The sequence below is a fragment of the Homo sapiens genome, chromosome 11 (assembly GCF_000001405.40).
Source record: "Homo sapiens chromosome 11, GRCh38.p14 Primary Assembly".
Lineage (NCBI taxonomy): Eukaryota > Metazoa > Chordata > Mammalia > Primates > Hominidae > Homo > Homo sapiens.
In genome coordinates, this window is record NC_000011.10 from 86,914,976 (window position 1) to 86,938,120 (window position 23,145).

The 23,145-nt window shown below is 41.4% G+C and overlaps 1 protein-coding gene and 1 long non-coding RNA gene across 4 annotated transcripts in view, besides 1 other annotated feature; one reads left to right on the top strand and one right to left on the bottom strand.

The window, feature by feature from the left end:
- The window catches only part of PRSS23 (serine protease 23), a 161,840-nt gene that overhangs the window by 123,905 nt on the left and 14,790 nt on the right, over positions 1 to 23,145 (top strand). The window contains exon 3 of one of the 3 annotated variants that reach the window (NR_120593.2): positions 17,720 to 22,844. The exons of the other annotated variants lie outside the window; for them this stretch is intronic. The gene's annotated coding sequence lies outside the window, so the exon portion shown is untranslated. Of the gene's footprint in view, positions 1 to 17,719; positions 22,845 to 23,145 lie in introns of those variants that run through there. 3 annotated transcript variants of the gene reach the window in all.
- PRSS23-AS1 (PRSS23 antisense RNA 1) overlaps positions 1 to 23,145 on the bottom strand; it is a 50,139-nt gene that overhangs the window by 26,629 nt on the left and 365 nt on the right. Inside the window, exon 2 of the long non-coding RNA NR_187135.1 lies at positions 6,261 to 7,123. This is a non-coding gene — a long non-coding RNA (PRSS23 antisense RNA 1). The remainder of the gene's footprint in view (positions 1 to 6,260; positions 7,124 to 23,145) is intronic.
- Positions 10,012 to 10,306: an enhancer, noted in NCBI's record as "tiled region #12486; HepG2 Activating non-DNase unmatched - State 7:EnhWF". NCBI's record gives its function as "activates a minimal TATA promoter and a strong SV40 promoter by Sharpr-MPRA in HepG2 cells {active_cell/tissue: HepG2}" and the evidence as "EXISTENCE:reporter gene assay evidence [ECO:0000049][PMID:27701403]".

Genomic DNA, 23,145 nt, shown 5'->3' on the forward strand with positions numbered 1-23,145 from the left:
TTTTACAGCATAGAGACGTGATTAACCTCATAGCCTGCCTTTCTGGGAACAGCTGAGAAGGAAGGAGGACCAGAGCACATGGCACAGCAGTTGGGAACCATCAATCGCATCAGTCCAGCTGCCTGGGAACTTTAAAATGGAGAGCGTTTAATTGGAAAACCCGAATTTTACTAAGAGGCCAGGGGATTCATGGGAACATGAAAGGAGTGAGACTAGGATTAAGTTTTTTGAGCAAAGGAGAGTAGAAGAAAACTCTTACATCACAAGTAATGATGTTCTGGTAAGACAGAAAACTCAGGGTGGGTTAGGGAGCACCAGGCACACCCAGAGTGTGGCAATAGGTAGTGTTGGCTCAGGAGTTAAAGAGACTTAGGTGTAAAGCCTGGCTTTGAACTTGGGACAGTTTTTTATCCTCTTTGAATTCTAGTTCCTTCATTTATAAAACAGTAATAATACAGTAATAATGTCTACTCTGGAGGCTTATAAGGAAATGAGATAATGTAAGAAAAGAGGCCGGTGATGTCACTCAATAAGGCAAATATCTGCTTAGAGTCGTAATAATAATATATATTATATATATAAAACTAATATATAATGTATATAAGTAATATATATATAACATATAATTATATATAATACATATTTAGCCACTGTGCCTGGCTAAAGTGGTAATAATATAGTAACTGAAAGATAGAAAATTTAAATGTCCAACAATAGATTGACCAACTAAATTATAGAGCAACTGTATAATGAAATATTATATTTGTAATTATATTTGAAAGAGCATAATGGGTCAGGTGTGGTGGCTCATGCCTGTAATCCCAGCGCTTTGGGAGAGACTAAGGCAGGTGGATCACTTGAGGCCAGGAGTTCAAGACCAGCCTGCCCAACATGGTGAAACCCTGTCTCTACTAAAAAAATACAAAAAAGTTAGCCAGGCATGGTGGCACACACCTGTAATCCCAGCTACTCAGGAAGCTGAGGGACAAGAATTGCTTGAACTCAGGAAGCAGAGGTTACAGTGAGCCGAGATCACACCACTGCATTCCAGCCTGGGTGACAGAGCAGGACTCTGTCTCAAAACAAAACAAAACAAAACAAAGTGCATAATATATAAGGAAGTATTTGTCATATAAAGTTATATGACCAGACCAGAATAAATAATGCATACAAATATAATATTTAAAAAGAAAGTTTATACATCAAAATGTTAAAGTGATTGTAGTTTAGACTGAGAGATTTTGGTTTTCTTTTTACAAAAAAAACCCATAAACACGAATTTTGGTAGCTTTCTGAGTTTTCTATGATGAGAATTGCTTTTATAAGAATATGGAATTTTAATTGGAGATAATAAATAGTGAATGTTTTCATGTCACTGGTGTTACCCTTATCAGTGTATTGTTCTTATTTGCTGTTCCCCAAATCCACCTCTGGCTTTACCCCTGGGAAAATGGCAACAATCCAGCAGAAACCAAATCTGTGGACCTAGAGGAATTAAAAGGATTTTTCTTCATTTACTTTGGGTGGTTTTGTCTGGCTGGGTGTGCCTCATACTGACAGGAAGTGTGTGTCACCAGAAAAGAATTTAATTCTTTGCAGCAAAAAGATGGTTAGTGGAAAGAGAGAAAAACACTCATGAGTGCTTCTCACAGATTCGGCTTCATTGTGTCAAACTGGCTCCCCTTCCCAGTTGGACCCACCCAGAGAAGAGGTGCCCCCACTCAGAATCCACACTGTTCCAACAGACCAGGAATGTGTAGGGGCCTCCCAGTCCACCAAGAGGCCAGCTTGTTTGACCCCCGGTGTATAAACCTGGCTTTGCCTCTTGAAAGAGTAACCACCCCTCTCTGTGCCTCAGTTTCTCAACTGTAAAACTTATACGTCTGCCACCCCCACTAAAAAGTGAGTCCCTGTGAGCACAAGGACAGAGCTTTATACCTTTCTGTATCCGTACAGCTTAGCCCAGCACCGAGGCTCAGTTCATGTCCATTGAATAAAATGACAAAGTTGTTTTAAGTGGCTTTTTAAATGTGCCATCCAATGTTTGCAATTAAATTTGTGGAGCCGGGCGCGGTCGCTCACGCCTGTAATCCCAGCACTTTGGGAGGCCAAGGCGGGCAGATCACGTGAGGTCAGGAGTTCAAGACCAGCCTGACCAACATGGCAAAACCCCATCTCTACTAAAAATACAAAATGACCCAGGCGTGGTGGCACAAGCCTGTAATCCCAGCTACTCGGGAGACTGAGGTAGGAGAATCGCTTGAACCCGGGAGACGGAGGGTGCAGTGAGCTGAGATTGTGCCATTGCACTCCAGCCTGGGCGACAGAGTGAGACTCCGTCTCAATCAATCAATGAATTTGTGATCGTGGGCCTCTGGTGTAATATTTCTGGGGAAAAAAATTAAGGCAAACATAGGGAAATGTTAAGATCTGATAAGTCTGTATGGTAGACACATGAATGGATCTAACTAATATCCATATTAATCACTGATTTTCAGTTTCCTTGTCCACAAAATAATATCTACTTCATTGAGACTTTTGTGTCTTGAACAAGAAGTGTTAGGTCAAGTGCTTAGCACATTTGTGTCCTAACTCTTTTCTTGCAGCAAGAGGAATGAAAGGTAGCTCTCATTACTTGATTTTTTAATTCTAATGCTTAAAATCGGACTATCTGATTTGTAGGATCTGACCACAGTCATCCTGGCTATCATCCCACAGTGGCTGTGTCCCATAGTGACATAGATATTTCAATGGAGAAAAGATTGGACCACATTAGGGCAGATGATTGATCTCAGCCAATATCTCACCCAGTATTGGAAGCCTTCCACAGTAATGTATGAAAGTATAATTGATTGCCTATTCATTTACCAAACACCACATGCTGGGCATTGCACCAAGCACAGGAAATTAATAGATGCGAAGACCTAATTCCCTGGCCACAAAAAATTCACTGTGTAGTAGCAGAGACAGAGGCAGAAACAAATTATTTCAATAGAATTCAGTATATGCTAGATTATTAGCCCAAAGGAAGAAGTAAAACATTTACCCACACTTAGCAATCACATTTAGCTATTTCATTTTTAGTAATGAGGCCTATAGCTCTCACATACCTTTGAATTTTAGAAAATGTTAAGACGACTCTTTTTGCTGAAAATAAAAAGATATCACCTTCACAAAGGATGAGCTCATTTACGTAGGAAATAAAATAAAGCTATTGTGTCAGTATATACAGAAATGAATGTAAATGCAGAGATGAAGCTTGGGCAGGGAACACACCATTGCCAAAGTGCTTATTGGGAGAGAGGAGAAGGTAATAGGAGGGTGGTGAGAAGGTTGTTCCCTTGTTTCCCATATATTTCTGTATTATTTGAAGATTTTAAATCAAAGATGTATTCATATATTGTTTATGTTATAATTGCATTATTGTCTATGTACAGAAAGAAAGAAAGAAGTCTTCTCCCAGATATCCACATCTGCTTCAGATCTTTGTTCAAATGTCACTTTCTGAATATCCTATTTTTAAATTGCCACCTCACCACCATTAAAATCCCCATCCCCTTCTCTGTCTTCATAGCATTTACCACAATCTGACATCCTATATATTTTACTTTTTTACAAAATATTATTGTCTGTCTCTCCCAGACAATTAGAATGTAGGCTCTGTGAGAGCTGAGATTAGTGTGTGCCAGCTTTACAGCTGTAAACCCAGGGCCGAGGACATATACCAGGTGTTCCACAGGCCAACAGCCTGAATGTATACAGCATTATGCTAACAGCAGTTATTTCTGAATGGAGAGACTACAGATGTCTTTTATTTTCTTCATTCTGCTACTTGGTATCTGAATTTTTGTAATGAGCGCATATTAATTATATTACCTAAGAAAACAACAAAGCTCTTTGAATTTATTATTATTTTAATAACCTGGGAACTAAGAAAGAGGCTCCAGTAGAAGCCACCATGGAAGGAGTAAGGGCCTAGTGGGAGTCAGGCCAAAGAGCATAGGCGAAATCTCCTGAGATACTTGGTGGAGTAAAGTTAGTTGGAATTAAAAAACCAACTAACTTATGACTCCTCCACTGCCTCGCAGTTTCCAGACATCCGCAAAAATGCCTGGTGCACGGGTCACTGTTTCACAAAGGGTCTTCTGCCTCATAGCTTCCCATCCCCAAGCAGCGGGGCCCAGAAATTTGCCCACATCCTTCCATCCAGCAAATGTTTTTATCTGGGTCCTACTTAGGTTTCAGCCAATTCTTTGCTGAGCAACTTGGCTTCCTGTTTTCCTTGGGAACCAGACTCTTTTTAAGTTGGAGCCATAAAAAGAATGAAATCCTTTACCTGATACTTTTCTATTCGGGTATTCAAGCCTGCCACAGACGGAGGCCCTGTGGGCCACTCTCTCGTTGTGGGCACTGGCATCTTAGCCCAGCACTTTGAATAAGGCACATGTGAGAGTGAATGCTGCGCTTTTTTCATTCTTTTCTTCTCTCTCTCTTGTTTTTTTTCTGTTCTATTTCTAATTGAAAGCCATTGTCTTGAGTGAATGATTGTAGAGAAGGCTTACTCCTCATCTCAAAATGCCATCTCATAGGAGCAATGGGAGAAAGTGGTCCTGCCAGTCTGAAAGTTAAGAGACTTGGTTTCTCATAATTGTTCTGCCATTAAGTTGTTACGTGATCTTAGTCAAATCATGTTACCTCCCCGGGCCTCCGTTTCTTCATCTGCAAAATAAAGTTCTTTGCAGTGTTTCTCAAGTCCCTGCCCAAATCAGTGTTTGTTTAACTGAGGATGAACAGTGACACCTTGTGGTTCTCCTTGAGCCATGTCTTTGTTTTTTCTAGCCCAAGTTTAAGGGAGCCAAGGGTATCTTTGCCTGTTCCCCTGCCTGGCCCACCTACCCTAGCAGCTTCACTTAGCATGGCTCTAACCTGGTCTCCCCCTAGATTCAGAAAAGTGCATCCACCCTTTGTTCACCAGCTGCTTCCCAGCCTCAACTTGGCCAATGTTGCTAAAATCAAACTACAAGTAGACTGCAGACGCCAGCGTGAAGGCCTGTGCTTCTGTGGTGAGGTCTGCGGTTTGGTGTGAATGTGAGGGTATCAGCCCCAGGTGTTTTTTAGGGCTGCTAGTGCAGTCCCAGAGAGGGACCTGGGCAACAGCTCAAGGAGCAAGACTGAAGATTTTACTGTTTTCCAGCACTCCTACGAATTTGTAAAATTATCAGATTCCAAATTGTTCTATGCCATAGTTTTTCCATTCATAAAATAAGAAAAATCTGCCATAGCACTGCCTTCAAACTCAGTTAGTCTATTCATTCATTTACTTATTTGTTCTTCAAATATTTAATAAGCATCTTCCTGGTGCCAAGTTCTGAGCACCTACCTGTGCCAGTAGTCCGAACTTGAGAAGACACAGTCTCTACTTTTCAAGACCCTGTTCTTGTCTAATGAAGAAGAGAGAAGGAGGAAAAACTTCCATTGCCATGCAATAAGGTAAGCTTATGGCAGATAATGTGTACACATAATGGCATGGAAGCCTGGGGACAAACATCATACTAGGCCTGGGAAGAATGTTTGACAGAGAACAGGACACTTAAATACGGACGTTTACAGAATGGAGTTTGCCAGAGGAGACTCTTCAGGAAGAGAGAACAGAGTGGGAATAGGTACATAAACATGATCTATCTAGATGCCCTACCGTAAAATCAAAACACAAAACCCTACTGACTCAATTCCCTCCCCTTCCAGATATTACCCCATTTCTCTACTTCCCATTGTAGCCAAACTTTCCAAAAATTCATGTTCTGTCTTCATTTCCTCATGTTCAACCCACCCTGTCTTAGCTACCACCCCTCAGTAACGACCTAGCCTGGGTAGAAACAAATGTCAGCATGATACCATACTCAATGATCCTTCGTCACTGTTGTCATTGTCATCATTCCATGGCCTTACTTTCCCTCTCAGCGCCATTTGCTACAGTAAGAAACTTTCTTTCTTGAATTCTTGTTTCTCTTGGCTTCCATGACACCCACTCTCCTATTCATGCTCCAGGTTCACTGTCTGCTCCTTCCTGGTCTCCCTGTTCAGCTCCTCCTACTCCGTTCAACATTAAATGTCAATATTCTTTTCTTCTTTCTATCTAGGAAATCTCATTCATTCCCATGGTTTTAAATGTCATGTACCAGCTCCTAAATTTTGTATATCCAAACCTGACCTCTGAAATCCAGTCTTAGCAACTAGTGAGGTCTCAGCTTAAATATTACCTGAAGGTTGTGTGATCTTCCCTGACATTTGTCTTCTTATCTGCTTCTCGCTAGATTGAGAGCCCCACGCAGGCAGATTCATCCTTACTTTCTTCAAACTTGCATGTTTAATGATTAGAACAGTTCCCAGGATACTCAAAAATTATTTGTTAACTAATTTCTGAATGAAATATAAGTAAATATAAGTATTTAAAATAGAATAAATCTGTGATTTTGATTGTTTTTAAGAAATTATTCACTCAATCCAGTTCAAGTTCAGCCAGGCAAGCCTCACAAAGGAGCATATGCTTAATGTTTCAGGATGTGATCTAATTTTTAATTGTTTCTTGATACAAAGTATCACCTTTTTCTAGTGACTGTTTCTCCTCCTCCATCATCTACTCTTGCCCAGTGGGAGATTTCCCAGTGAAATCCCACCGATGATCTGAATCAGAACATTTCATTCTCCATGGTTATTTCAAGTTCACAGACTTTATTTGTGGCCCTTGTGGCAGTTGATACTTTTTCAGGAAATACTATAGTTGCAGCAGGCCCTGTTACAGCTTAGTGGATATTCATGTTGTGGATGCTTTTTTACCGAAACACACAGTAACCAAGTATCCAGGAGCGGGAGCTAGAGACACTGTGGTCCAGACCTGTGGAAAAGGGAACACCACTCCTGGCAAAGGGAAGCAACAGGCAGCACATTTTGTTCAAAGAAACAAGGTGAACCCTCTTGGAGTTAAACTTGAGGCTGACATCCATTTCAGCTTGAGGCTTCCAAGGCACAAAGCAGCTCCCAGTAGCTGAGAGGGATCAAGAAATAGAATATCCTCATCTTTCCTTTGTAGCAAGAGCCTTCAGAAAGGAGGACCACTGGTCACCTGGAATGGAAAGTTATTATTAAAATAAAGCTCCAGTCACATTATTCAGGAAACTTTGGGAATGTTTATAAATAGATAAAAATAATAATGGCCAAGGAACATTCCTCTCTCCAAATCTCCCTGAGACAATACTGACCAAGTTAAACATGCCTTGTTTCTGAGATTGAGTCCCAGGTCTACCTCTGATAAATCAGATGGACAATTACTTAACCACTCTCAACTTTTATTTCCTCCTCTTTAAAATGGGCAAAATGTGACCAGGTACAGTGGCTCTTGCCTGTAATCCCAGAACTTTGGGAGGCTGAGACGGGAGGACTGCTTGAGCCCAGGAGTTAGAGACCAACCTGGGCAACATAGCAAGACCCCATCTCTAAAAAAAATAAACAAATAAAAATAAAAATAAAATGGGCAAAATAATGTCCTCACACCATCACTATGAAGATTAAATGAGACAATACCTGTCAAGTGCAGATACAATACCTGGGACACAGTAGTAGCTCAGTAAAAATAAATACTTTCCATCCCTTGATATCTAAGCAGAAGAAAATGCCCTAAAGATATAGATATTCTCTAGAGAATTTTTTTCTACATTTGCTCAAACATATGAATAAATAATACAGCAGCCTAGACAGGAAGGGACACCCAGCATTGAATTATAATTTGTGCTTTCCAGAGCTGTCTGCCTATTACCCTGGTATGTTTGTTCACCTTCATATTCCTGCATCTAACAGACTTCCTGGCATATAACAGGTGCACAAAATGTTTGCTGGCTTGAATTAAACTACACCTGCACTGTAGGTCCTACCCTCATATGACTATTAAGCACTTGAAATGTGGTTAGTCTGAATTGATTGTGCTGTGAATGCAAAACACACAGCAGGTTTTGAAAATTTAGTAGCCCTTTTTTGGGGCTACTAAATGTAAAATATTTCATTATTAATTTTTATATCCATTACATGTTAAAATGATATATCACATACATCGGGTTCAATAATATATGTTAAAATTAATTTCACCTGTTCCTGTCTACTTTTTTTTTTTTTTTTTGAGACGGGGTCTCTGTCGCCCAGGCTGGAGTGCAATGGTGTGATCATTGCTCACTGCAACCTCGAACTCCTGGGCTCAAGTGAGCCTTCCACCTCTGCCTCTCAAAAAACTGGAACTACAAGCACACATTAACACACCCAGCTAATTTTTTAAAATATTTTTGTAGAGATGGGGTCTTGCCGTGTTGCCTAGGGTGGTCTCGAACTCAAGTGATCCTCCCACCTAAGCCTCCCAAATTGCTGGGATTACCAGCATAAACCACCTTCTATTTCTTTAATGTGATTACTAGAAAATTTTAAATTACATGTATGGCTTATACATTATATTTCTAATGGACAAAGCAGAACTAGACTATAGGCCACCAATTGGCTGAAAGGTCATTGAATATGTATATCTCAGACTTTTTCTCTGGACCTCCTCTCTTGTTAAAGTTATACAAGCTCTACAAGGCATTTTCTAGTTCCAGTATTCTATGATCATATGAACTTTAGACTACAGTTTCTTATGTAAGAAAACTGATTAAGTTGCTAGTCTGGGCCAAACACTTTTGTACACACTGTTATTTAGTCTGTATAACACACTTAAGAGGGAAGAATGACCCTCCTCATTTAATAAGTGTAAAAAGAAGACCCACAGAAGTTAAGAAACTTGGCTAATGTCACCTGGCTTGTAAGTGACAGAACTGGCCTGGAATCTTTTCCCGTTTTCTCCAGTTCTTTGTAAGAATTCCCAACAGAAAACACGATTCAAGAGTCAATGTGGGTGCTTTGGCTTGGTTATTCCCTAAGATATATTTCCTTGAGAAGAATCGTATATCATCAGAATCATTGTAAAAGGGTATACAAGAGGATCCTTAAAGAATGGAGAGGAAGCCCCGGTGCTTCTCAAGCTTGGTAGATCATTGACACCTAGCAGTAAATGTAGGGAGGCTTCTAAGGAGGTAAGATCGAGAGCCGGAAAACAGGGGCTGCTTGCTGGTGGTTAATTGTTCACCAGCTTCAGAAGACAAGGCTGGGAGGACAGCAGGGGAGTGAAACATTGACCAGTTCTAATTTAGATGCAGGAATGTGTGAGGGAGGCACAGAAAGGTCGGCACCTGAGACAGCTCCCATGGGCAAAATTCCTCTCCCAGAGACTGGGAAAGGAACAGGGAATGTGCTCAGAGAAGAAAGGGCTGCTGGCCTCAGAATGCATTTATTTTGCCAACTCCTACAGCCATTTCTAGGGCCTACAACAACAACAAAATGATGAGGGCATGTTTGACTTTTACAACACACCAAACTCTGTTAAATTTTGGAGACCTGGGACCAAGAAGTAAGGGATAGATAAAACAAAAATGAGTTAAATAAGATACTGCGCTTGCATTGGAGCCAAACTGGAAAATGCGAACTGGACTTGAAGGCTCTTGGACCTGGGTTCAATTCTTGGCTCCACCTAGCCACTTAATCCTAGGCAATTCAGTGACTCTCAGTTTACTCAACTGGAAAAGAAAAGTAATGAAACTTATCTCCAAGAGTTGTTATAGTGATTACATGATAATGAGGAAGCTCCTGAGTCCTGGTGCAATCAATATTGAGTTGAAGAGTAGGAAAGACTACATTGTTTAAAATGGTCCAAGGGCTCCCCAAAACCTTTAGTGAACGGTTCAGTATGGCTTCCTTTCCTCCAAGAGCCCAGCTTATTTCCACAGCTTCCCTCCTACCCTCTGCCTCTTCACCCCTACCTAACCGGGGTCAGCTTCTGATTTGTGACACTTTTAGAATCAACATCCTGATTGCTGAGACTCAGTATTTCATTCTGTAACATTTTCTGAAGAAGACTTTAACTCACCGAGGGGAGTTGACCCTTCAAAGGCCCTTCTTTAGCACAAGCCGCCAAGCTACCTTTTCCGCGGTTAGCCCTTGGCCCTGTGGGGGTGAGCTTGATCACCCCAGACATCACTTGACAAGGAGCATGTTGCATTTCTCTTAAAACACAAAACAAAAATTTGCTGGCTGGCTGCCCAGTTTCTGTTACATAGACCCAGATTAAATTTCTCTTGGACTGGTTTGTAGAGCCCCTGGATGCTGGACTGAAAAGTGATTTATGTTTTCTCTTGGCAGGGAATTACCCAAGTGAAAACTGCATTGAAAATTAACTGTTTAACTGGAGTGTGTGTGTGTGTGTGTGTGTGTGTGTGTGTGTGTCGTTTACATTTATATGCATGCCCTAGTCTGGTCCGATTGATAAGCTGCTTCTCATTGGCTGACAAGCTTTAGAAACAGAAAATCAAGAGCCAGGAAAAGGGACTTATAAATATGCCAACCTTAATAGTAGCAGGGTTGCCATGATTAAGTTTTAAATTTGATTCTGAACTCCCTGGCAATCAAGGCAAAAATGAAAACATAATCAGGCATGTAGCTCTCAATAACAGAAAGGAAGGCCCTCCTGACCCTTCTTGAAAGTATTCAGAATATTACAATAATAACAACTGTCATTTACTGAGCACTCTCTATGTACCAAGAGCATATTTTGTGCTTGTAACAACCAAACAAATTAGTTTTTTCTTTTATGGTTGAAAAAATTAGGCTTACAGAGGTGATGACTTTTGTAAGACTTTCCAGTTAGTAGCAGTTGAAACCTGAATTACTATCCAAGTATATCTGACTCCAGCTACTAACCAACACTGTCTTTCCAGCCTGTGATAGACATGTCTTCAGTAACGTTTTCATAGCAAATGTGCTACTTTTAATGGCTGTTTGACCTTCAAGTAGAAATTTCAAAATTTGGGGGTTTGTTTCGTGTCATATTCAAACTGAAAATGAGTTGAGTGACTGAGCCTCAGAGCTTTGCTCCATCCCCTTTCCCATCAGAAAGTAAAGAATAAAACTAAATATATATTGAGTCTACCATGCTAGGTGCCCTACATTCATTTCTTTATTTAAACTTCACCCAAGGCCGGATGCAGTGGCTCACACCTGTAATCCCAGCACTTTGGGAGGCCGAGGTGGGTGGATCACCTGAGATCAGGAGTTCGAAACCAGCCTGACCAATATGGTGAAACCCCGTCTCCACTAAAAATACAAAAATTAGCCGGGCGTGGTGCCGTGCACCTGTAGTCCCAGCTACTTGGGAGGCTGAGGCAGAAGAATCACTTGAACCAGGGAGGCAGAGGTTACAGTGAGCCAAGATCGCACCACTGCACTCCAGACTAGGTGACAAGAACGAGACTGCATCTCACAAAAATAAATAAATAATAAAATATAAATAAACTTCACCCTAAAAAAAAGTGTGACTTAGAGTCCTAATAAAAGATTTTTGGTTACCAGTTGCAAGACCCACCTGAAAGAGTTTAAATAAAGGGGTACCCATAATTATAAATAATGTGTATCTGGAAGAACTCAAGGGCGGGAAGTGTGGCTGAGCTTCATAAGAGAGACAAGGAGCAGAAACTGGGAAGTCAGAACACTGACTGGACCTACTTCTCCAGGGGGTATTGTCTTTTGACCCTGCTTCTCTATGCATCTCTTATGTTGGGGTGAACCTTCTTGTTTCCAAGTACAAAAACCTCCATTAGGGTTACACTCCTGGATTTTGGTTCATGAATTTGGGGAAAGGACCAAGCACTCATAGTTCAACTGTTTCCCCTCGCATTTTTCCCCTCCATCTACGTGGGGCAGCCTCTGGCTATTCAGGGTTGTCTATGAAAAGTCTGTCTCATTATGTGTTCAGCATTGCCACACTAAACTATGTTTATCTGCAAAAAGCTCATGCGTTACTCCTCCTCTGCCATAACCTCATGAATCCCTTAATTGGTTTGGAAGTGAGGCAAGGAAAGGGGAGGTTACTTATTGGGCCCCCTCAAACTCCAACATGTAGTCAGATAGGGTTACCCAGTCATGCTGTCACCCCCACTTCCCAGATCAAGAATTAACAGAACCTCTGGATTCTATTCTTAAGGATTTTTTAGATTCTGACTGAGCTAACTTGAGTCAGTCCACCATGGGTCCAATCAGCTTTGCCAGGGGCCTGGAGTCACGTGGTGCAGAGAGGAGGAGAGTAGTCAGAGGGAAAGAATCAAGGGCTAAGCAGATACCTCAAGGTTTCTATTATAGGCAGGCGTTGTCATCTCCTGTTCACCAGTGGAGAAATTGCATCTTAGGGAGAAGACAGTCTCACAGCTAATATCAGAGCTAAAATTCATACCGAGGTCTGATTGACTCTAAAGGTTATGTTCCTAACACAGTTATAAGATCTCAGAAGCTGACCCTGAGCTGGCATTCTCCAGTTGGCATTGAGTAGAATAACTGGCATCGTGTAAACTAGCCCAACAGTAATACTGATAAGAAAGCAGAGCTAAGATTTTACCTTCTCATTTTTTAAATTTTTTTTTAGATTTTAAAAATGAGACGGGGTATCACTATATTGCCCAGTCTGGTCTTGAACTCCTAAGCTCAAGCAGTCCTCCCACCTTGACCTCCCAATGTGCTGGGATTACAGGCATAAGCCACTGTGCCCGGCCTTACCTTCTAATTTTTAGTGACATCTTCTTTTCCTTTCTCCTTCTGAACTACCCTAGAAATATGAGCGGCAAAGACTAATAAAAAGAATACTAGGCCGGGCGTGGTGGCTCACGCCTGTAAGCCAGGGGAGGCTGAGGCAGGAGGATCACTTGAGGTCAGGAGTTTGAGACCAGCCTGCACCTGTAGTCCCAGCTACTCAGGGGCTGAGGCTTAAACCCAGGAGGTGGAGGTTGCAGTGAGCTGAGATTGCACCACTGCACTCCAGCCTGGGTGACAAGAGAGAAACTCCGTCTCAAAAAAAAAAAAAGTATACTGTACTTGGTCCCAGAAAGTCTCCACTTACAAGCTCCATGTCCTTAAAACACACAGATATTAAGCTCTTTGATCATCATTCAGTTTTTTCATTTATTTAGCCTACATAGATGTATGTATGTATATGTATATATGTATATGTTAATGTAATATATATTAAGCATATGTATTATATACTTATAATACATATTATACATAAATATATGTATATGTTAATATATATTAAGCATATGTATTACAAATATTTTATACTTATAAATATATATGTATTATATATAAGTATATGTATTTATTATATACTTATACATATGTTTAATACATATTACATTAACATAAATATACTTACATAAGTATATAATACATATGTTTAATATTGCATTACATTAATATATATATAAATCTATAATACATATGCTTAATATATATTAATGCCAGGCTGGGTGTGGTGGCTCACACCTGTAATCCCAGCACTTTGGGAGGCTGAGGCAGGCAGATCATGAGGTCAGGAGATCGAGATCATCCTGGCTAACACAGTAAAACCCCATCTCTACTAAAAATACAAAACATTAGCCGAGCGTGGTGGCAGACACCTATAGTCCCAGCTACTTGGGAGGCTGAGGCAGGAGAATGGCTTGAACCCAGAAGACGGAGCTTGCAGTGAGCCGAGATCGCGCCACTGCACTCCAGCCTGGGCGACAAAGCAAGACTCTGTCTCAAAAAAAAAAAAAAAAAAAAAAAAAAAAAAAATTGGCAAGACATATACAGCATATAATACATTATGTTATATATTAATATATAATACATAGGTTTTATTATTATATCAACAGATATATTGGATATCTACAACATACTAAGTAAATCAAAATAAAACAAATCCTACCAGATGCTTAGCTTCTAATGTGAGAAATGCAAATTAAAAGTAACTACACTGAAATAATGTTTTTCTGCTCTCAGATCTCCAAATGTCCAAATGTTCTGCAACACATGTAGGTGAGGCGCACTTAAACATTGTGGATGGGAATATGAAGTGGTACAATCCCATGGAAAGCAATTTGTCAAAAATTATTAAACCACAAACTTGGCTGGGTGCGGTGCCTCGTGCCTGTAATCCTAGCACTTTGGGAGGCCGAGGTGGGCAGATCACCTGAGGTTGGGAGTTCAGGACCAGCCTGACCAACATGGAGAAACCCCGTCTCTACTAAAAACACAAAATTAGCCGGGCATGGTGGCGCAAGTTTGTAATCCCAGCTACTGGGGTAGGCTGAGGCAGGCGAATCGCTTGAACCTGGGAAGCGGAGGTTGCGGTGAGCCAAGATCGCGCCATTGTACTCCAGCCTGGGCAACAACAGCGAAACTCCGTCTCAAAAAAAAAAAACAAAAAAAAAAACCCCACAAACTCAAGGCCGGGTGTAGTGGCTCATGCCTATAATCCTAGTACTTTGGGAAGCCGAGGCAGGCGGATCACCTGAGGTCAGGAGTTCAAGATGAGCCTGGCCAACATGGCGAAACCTCATCTCTACTAAAAATACAAAAATTAACCATGCATGGTGGCATATGCCTTTAATCCCAGATACTTGGGAGGCTGAGGCAGGAGAATCGCTTGAACCTGGGAGGCGGAGGTTGCAGTGAGCCAAGATTGTGCCTGGATGACAAAGCGAGACTCCGTCTCAAAAATAATAATAATTTAAAATACAAACTCATATACAATTTGTACCAGCAATTTGGTTTCCAGGAAATTATGCTTCAAGTGTTCTCACACTCATAAGAAATAACATCTGTATATGATTGTTATCATTGCGGCATTGTTTATGATCACGAAAGATTAAAAACAATTAAATGGCCATCAGCACAGGCCTAGATCATTTATAGAGTGGACCTCTGGGCATCAATGACAGAAAATGAGGAAGCTCTCTAAGTTGTGAAATGGAAAACTGCCAAAACATAAAAGTGAGTGGAAAAAACAAGGTGCGGAACAGTGTGTAGAGTGTGCATATGTGTAAAAAGTATATACATTAGTATTAGCAATACTAATAGTATAACACTAATAGTATTCATAATTTGTTATTTGCTAATATATACAAATATAGTATTATACTATACTATAATAGTATTAGTTATAGTGGTATAGTATGTGTATATATGTTTGTGTATATGTGTATGTATACAAAATCTTGTATAGGCATTAAAAAATATCTGGGGAAAAAAACTGATATCAAGAAGTTCCTTTAAAAAAAAAAATGTGGGGTGGGAAGCCAGGCAAATAGGGACAGGGATGGGAATAAAACTTTTGACAGAATATCTTTTTAGAATTTTTGAACCAACATGAATGTATAAGCTATTCAAAAATTGAAATAAATATATGCAGTTTGTAAAATGACAACAGTGCAGTGAATGTTAGGAAGGGGAAGCCCAGGGCCCCACAGGAACATGTAACAGGGGATCTAACTTAGTCTACAGGGCCTAGGGAAATTCCCTGATGAAGCTGCTTTTAAACTGAGACTGGAAGAATAAATAAGCAAAGAGGAAAGTGGATGAAGAATGGCTGACCAGGGCCGGGCGCGGCGGCTCACGTCTGTAATCCCAGCACTTTGGGAGGCCGAGGCGGGCGGATCACAAGGTCAGGAGATCGAGACCATCCTAGCAAACACAGTGAAACCCCGTCTCTACTAAAAATACAAAAATTAGCCGGGCGTGGTGGCGGGCGCCTGTAGTCCTAGCTGCTGGGGAGGCTGAGGCAGGAGAATGGTGTGAACCTGGGAGGCGGAGCTTGCAGTGAGCCGAGATCGCGCCACTGCACTCCAGCCTGGGCGACAGAGCGAGACTCCGTCTCAAAAAAAAAAAAAAAAGAACGGCTGACCAGAAAAAGGGACCTCACGTACAAAAGCCCTGAGCAGGTAAAGTGCTTCACAGTCAAGGAGTAGAAACATACCCAGTATGGCCAGAACACAGAAAAACAGCGGGCAGGAAGATGCAGGAAGGAGTAGCCAAAGCTAAAAGGAAAGTGAGGGCCAAATTGTGCAGGCTACGTGAAAAATGTCTGGACTTGCTCCTAAGGGCAATGGGAAGCCATTGAAGGAGTTTAAGCAGGAAAGTGATGGGATCAAGGTTATGTTTTAAATGGATTGCTCTGGAGCCTATGAGGAGAAATGACTGGAGGAAGCAAGACTGGATGTTGACAACTCATATATCTGACAAACTACTTTGGAAAACTGTCTGGCAGTTTCTTATAAAGTTAAACATACATCTACCCTATGACCTAGCAATTTCATTCTTGGGTATTTATCCAAGTTAAATGAAAACATATGTTCACAAAATATTTGTACAAAATTTGTTATAGCAGTTGTATTCATAGTAGCAAAAATGATGAAGAAAAAAGCCACTAAATTTCCATCAAAAAATGAATTAATAAGCAAATTGTGGTGTATTTCTACAATGGCATACCACTCAGCAATACAATGGAAGGAATTCCTCACACACACAACATGAATGAGTCTTAAATCCATGAAAAAAAAGCACAGATGTGTACATACTGTATGATTCCAATGATATGAAATGAAATCAATGTACATAAAAAATAGTCCCTAGTAATAGAAATCAGAAAGTAGTTGCCTAGAGGAAGGAGACATTGACTGGAAAGAAAAAAATGAAGGATTATTCTGGGGCGATGGAAATATTGTATCTCTTTTTGTACATGGCAGTTACCCAGTGTATACAACTGTCAAAACTTATCAAAGCAAAACAGCTGGACTTGTGCTTTTTATTATCTCAAGCTCCGGAGCTCAAGTGACCCACTCACCTTGGCCTCCTAAAGTGCTGGGATTACAGGCATGAGCCATCGTTCTCAGCGTGCTTTTTATTAACTGTACTTCAATTTTTTTTAAAAAAAAGAGTGGACATTGAGGAAGATAGGAGGCAACTGTAATAATCCAGGAGAAGGGTGACGGTAGCCTGGTGCCCTATTATTGGGGACCAAATAAAATAACATGTATAAGAGGGCAAACAATAAAACTTCATGCAAACCATGAAGCTCTATGCAAACTGTGAATCTTTGTGCAAAAGTGAGGACCGAGTCTAACTTAACCCCTATCAAAATTTGGAGGTGATGGAGACTTCCAAAATTGCCCCCGAGGCAGTCCCATTGTTTGCAATGAAGGGCTGGGGGGTGATTAATCATGATCATGTGGTTGGTTTGTCACAGTTTGGCAGGAAGTGGGACCAATGACTGCTGAGAGTCATCAGAATACTTGACCTTGGGGCAAAAAGCAGGGGAGGGGCAGGAGCTGCTTTTGCCAGAAGTCGTTTTCTACTGAAAATTAGGCTTTCCCAAACAAGAAGTGTATTCAGCTGCTAGACTGGAGTCTTGAATTTATTTTTTTGTATAATTAGGGTTTGAAGGATACAGCAAAAAAGGAAGCAGACTGTCAGTTCCTGAAGCAGGGGCCATCACCATCAGTGACACGGCCACCCAGCCTCCAGAAGAGTTTGCTGGGGGCTGAGAGTGTGTGGGAAATACATGGGGGCTGCTTGCAAGCATCTGCCTCTGACTGCAGACAGGTTTGGAGAAACAGCTGTGTGGAAATCAGGCAAAAGCTATCTGAAGAACTGTTCACTCACCATTTAACTGAATTCAACTTTGTTTCCATGACTTTTTTTTTTTTTAGTGTTAATACATCTCTGATTATTTGCTTTAATTTAATGTTGATTTTGTTTTCTCAAAACCACTTGGAATGAGCAGACACAGCTGGATCCTCCCTGTTTACCCCAGTGGATGCTAAATGCTTTGGTGAAGAGGAGACATCCCTGCACAAAGCAGAGCTGTGGATTCTCTGACCTCCTTGAAGACTCTCTTCTGAGCTGCAGTGGACATTTGCCATATTTTTATTAATGGGTGTCTGTCATCAAATCTCCCTCTGTAAGGGTTGGTCACTGTTGTGGCTTCTCTCGATGTGAGGTCGGACTCACCTTCCATATCAAAAGTGGACAAAATCACACTCACACTCTCTTGTTCACACATAAACACACAACCCTGGCACAATCTGAGGGTCAGTAACTGACTTTGGCTCAGCCCACCAAGTGGTCTTTCCCTGAAGTGTGAATCTCAGGGAAGCAATACAAAAACAGGCAGGGGGTGGGTGGCTACCTCTGGAGACAGCTGGAGGTCGTCCTTTCAAAAGCAGGCTGGCGGGCACGCTGACCAAACTACTCCTGCCAAGGAGCCATTGCTGTGGTTCCTTTGGACTGGACTTCTGACTCTCCCCTAATTTCTACTCATTTCTAAGGTTAATTCTCTTTACTCTCCAACCACTCCAATACATTTCCTTCCATTTATGTTCTCTAGAGTCTGTTTTCATTGCTGACACCTAAGGTGGTGCATAATTATAAGCCAGCGTGATTTCATTTCCTATCTGAAGCCTTCGAAAAAAATGGCTCTCAAGCAGTATCTCAGACACCCAAATCCAAGGCTTTACTTTGGTGGCCATGGAAAGACACCTGAATGGGTGGGCGTGGGAATAGGGTAAGAGAAGTAGAAAAGAGGAAGGGAAAAGAGAAAGTACTGCATATTTCATACCTACTATAGTCTAGGACTGAGGATACAGCAATGATCAACATAGGCAGAGGCTCTAACAGATGCCAGGAGCCAGCTAGGCATTTGTCCGGCTATCTTATGATAATATTATAGGGAGGGAGGTGCTCCCATACCCCAAGTGGGAAGAGTGCGGCTCAGTGAGGCTGAGAAACTTGCCGTGGGTCACACAGCAGATGACTATTGGAGCTGGAATCTGAACCAGATCTCATTCCTACCATATCTGCTCTTTCCACTACATAAATTTGTTAAACAATGGTGGGTAAACCATGCACCTTTTTTTCTTTTCGTATTTTGATTTCAGTGTTGTATCCATGATTTGGAACGAGCCCACCTGAGCCTAATGATGCGACGAGATCATTGGATTATATATGTATTTACTTTAAAAACACAAGGTAGAAAACTTTACTGAGTCCATGAAAAGAAAAGCTGGAGACACGTCAAAGCCTGTTTTGATTTAAGTGGAATAGATCCAGCTTGAGTGTAAATTCGAGACTGTGTTTGCTTGTGTCACACTCTATTTTTCAAATTACTTTCATATGTCCTGTTTCATTTATTTCCCCCAGTTCGGAATGGGAAAACTGAGGCCTGGGACTTGAAATAACAGATGTATGTTTGTACAGCAAATCATCATGAGAGCCAAAACTCAAACCCATACTCTCTCACCGAACCCCACTGCTTCTTTCAGCACACAATAATTATTATTATGCCAAGTAAGTTTAACAAGGTGACTTGGATCGATTCATTCTGATGATTTGAGTTGGCTCCTGGGATCATCTGGGTAAATATTAGGCCCACATCTCTTTCCAAACATATTCCATCTCTCTCTCTCTCTTTGGTTTTTTCTTTTTTCTACATTTTCACCTCTGCTCCCTCATCATACCTCCCTCCCTTTCTCTGTTGAACTCCTCCCCTTCTCTTCTTTCCTCCCTTCCTCTCATCCTCTCACCCACAAAAACATTTGTTTGTCTTACATAGGGATAGTGTCATGTGACTGGGTGGCTGAAAGGAGAAGTATCTTTTAAGCTCCTGGAAGCAGAATATTTTCTTATGGATTTTTTATTGTTTGGATTGTTTTGCCAGGCTAATGAAAGAAGACTCTGAGGTCCCCTTATCTCAGGCCAACTAGAGGATGCCTTCAAGTTTTTGTTTTTCTTCCCAAGCTGGTTCCTTACAAATGCATCCAGAAGGTCATTCCCAGGTCCCCAAGATAGTGGTGGGTAATCAATCACATCCAGGACATCAGCATCACAGCAGATAAGCTCATGCATGGGAGGATTTGGGAAAGGAGAGAGGGGATCCTAAACTATCCCTGAACCATGTGCTCCAGCAAAGGCAAGTGGAGGGATTACTTTTTCTAGGAGTTCACTGGGACAGCCACAAGTATATTCTAGCTCCAATGACCATTCTTCCCTTTTGATTTTTGACTCAAAACAAATAAAAATACACATACATAAAATCCTTAAACATTTCCTATATAATCTGATAATTGCAATTCAGCAAGCAATAAAGATTGTGTGATTGTGTTTAACAGCTCCAAGGGATGGGTCCACACAGGGCCCCCAGGCAATAACTAATCCCTCTGAAACAAACAGAGAGGACTCCAGACCTGGCTTTGCCAAGGACAAGTTTTGTAAGCTTATTTAAGTCACCTGACTTCTCTAGGCCTCAGATTCCTCAGCTATAAAATAATGAGCTAGTTTATTATTTCAACCAATGCTTATTAAACATCCACTTTGTGTCAGGCTTTGTGCAAGAAGCTGGAAATATTTTTAAAGTATAGACACAGTATCTGTTCTCAGGGTCTCAGTGTTTAATGCGGGAAAAGATGCATCATAAGAGAAAAGTGCTGTGGACGGCAAAGGCAAAAACAACTCAGCCCAGGAGCTTATCTTTAGGATTCTTCCCAACCCCAAAAGTCTACGTGTATGGCATTTTTTTGTCTGTTCATTTTGTTTTGGTTGTCTTTTCACATGAATGTTATTTCATTCTTTCTTGACTAGTTGTTTTCAAATCATTGTTGCATTGTTGTCATTATCATCCATTACCAATTACTAAACACATACTGTTACCCCAAATGTTGTAATTACCCCAACTGTTGGTAATTACCCCAATGACTCTAAAAGTTAGACATTATAATCACTATTTTTTATATAATAACACTGAAGCCCAGAGAGGTTAAGTAACTTACCCAAGCTCACATCGCTAGAAAGTTACGGAACTGGGATTGGAGTTGACCCCTGCCAACTCCAAAGTACATGCTCTTTCTACTACTTGGTGCTGCCTTAGGTATATGTAGCCACTTAGGACAAACATCATTTACAGGAGCAGGTGTGATATAAAAATATGAGGCCCTTTGTTCAAATATTATTGAAAATTTCAAGATAGCAACAGCAAAGCATTAAACAAAGCACAAGGCCTGTCTAAGCACAGGGCTCTGAATGACTGCCCATGTTGCAAACCCAGGAATCCAGCCCTGCCAGCCACAATTCAGTTTGCAATGGCATCTCCCACTGAAGCAGAAAAGCTTCATAGCAATTTGCAGGCCCAGATCACACTCGCAGAATGTTTCAGTGATCATGCTTCACATGTAGGATTTCTGGCACTACCCAGAGGGTTCATTGTGAACCACCTGGCAGGACTTGGGGGCTCTGTGTGGTGGCTTTTTCAGAGTAGCCCTGGCACCTAACCTAAAGAATATTAATATCATTTCTGGTAATGCCAATTACTTTATTTTTTTTTGAGATGGAGTTTTGCTCTTGTTGCCAGGCTAGAGTGCAATGGCACAATCTCAGCTCACCACAACCTCTGCCTCCCAGGTTCAAGTGATTCTCCTGCCTCAGCCTCCCGAGTAGCTGGGATTACAGGCATGTGACACCACACCTGGCTAATTTTGTATTTTTGGTAGAGACAAGGTTTCTCCATGTTGGTCAGGCTGGTCTCGAACTCCCGACCTCAGGTGATCCGACCACCTCGACCTCCCAAAGTGCTGGGATTACAGGCGTGAACCACAGCGCCCGGCCAGCCAATTACTTTTTTTAATGTGGGGAAAGGTATATAATCTTGCTGAAAGAGTTTTGCTCCGTGTGATGGTTCATACCTGTAATCCCAGTATTTTGGGAGGCTGAGGCAGGAGGATGGCTTGAGCCCAAGAGTTTGAGACCAGCCTGGGAAACAGAGACCCCTGTCTCTACAAAAAATACAAAAAATTAGCCAGGCATGGTGGTATGTACCTGTAGTAGGAGGCTGAGCTGGGAGGATCACTTGAGCCTGGGAGGTTGAGGCCACAGTAAGCCATGATCATGCCACTGCACTCCAGCCTGGGTGACAGAGTAAAGAAAAAAAAAAAAAAAGAGTTCTGGTCATACCCTTACACCCTTACTCTTACATTTAGAACATTTAGAACATTAATGCTGCATAAATGGAACATGTCCAAAAGCCTCTTAGGATGCAAGCCTCTTTTGAAATTGCAAACTGGGACCAGTACATGTGCCCTAATAGAGGGCAGTAGGAAAAAAAGCAAGAGCTTTGCAGCTGCTGGATTACGAACCTCTCTACTGAGGCACTAACTCCTATTAAGGTGTTAGCTCCTACTGACCCAGCAGAGGCTGAGTAAAGATTGTCATTTTGGTCAATGATTCTTAATCAGTGGTATTTAATCTTTTGAGATCACAGACCCCTTCTTTGAAAAGTATGAACCATCTCCCCAGAAAAAAGACAGGTGTATGTAAAATATTCTTGCATTCAATTGTAGACTCTCTGCCTTAGCCCTAGATTTTTTAAAACCATATTTTAAAGCATGGCTCCCCTAATTATAGAATTGTCAGAGGCGTCTGAACCAGAGCAACTCCATCTTGAGTAGGGGCTGGGTAAAATAAGGCTGAGACCTACTGGGCTGCATTCCCAGACGGTTAGGCATTCTAAGTCACAGGATGAGATAGGAGGTCAGCCAAGATACAGGTCATCAAGACCTTGCTGATAAAATAGGTTGCAGTAAAGAAGCCAGCTGAAGCCCACCAAAACCAAGATGGCCATGAGAGTGACCTCTGGTTGTCCTCACTGCTACACTCCCACCAGCACCATGACAGTTTACAGATGCCATGGCAATGTCAGGAAGTTACCCTATATGGTCTAAAAGGGGAGGCATGAATAATCCACCCCTTGTTTAGCATATAATCAAGAAATAACCATAAAAATAGGCAACCAGAAGCCTTCTGTCAGTGGAGTAGCCATTCTTTTATTCCTTTACTTTCTTAATAAACTTGCTTTCACTTTATGGACTCGCCTTTAATTCTTTCTTGCGTGAGATCCAGTAACCCTCTTTTGGGGTCTGGATCCGGACCCCTTTCTGGTAACAGAATCTTCCAGTGTTAGAACTAGACACAAACTTAGAGATGATTTTTGTGAAAGCACCTTATTCCTAGTGGTGTGAAAGCTGAGGTCATTTGGGATAATAAATGGTTCTGCACATTTTCAAAGAGCTAACCCTCATTGTCAACACTACCTTGAACTAGTTGCCCCACTCCTAATTTGCTCCTGTCAAAACACTGCAGCCAAATGCAACAATCCAGTGCCAC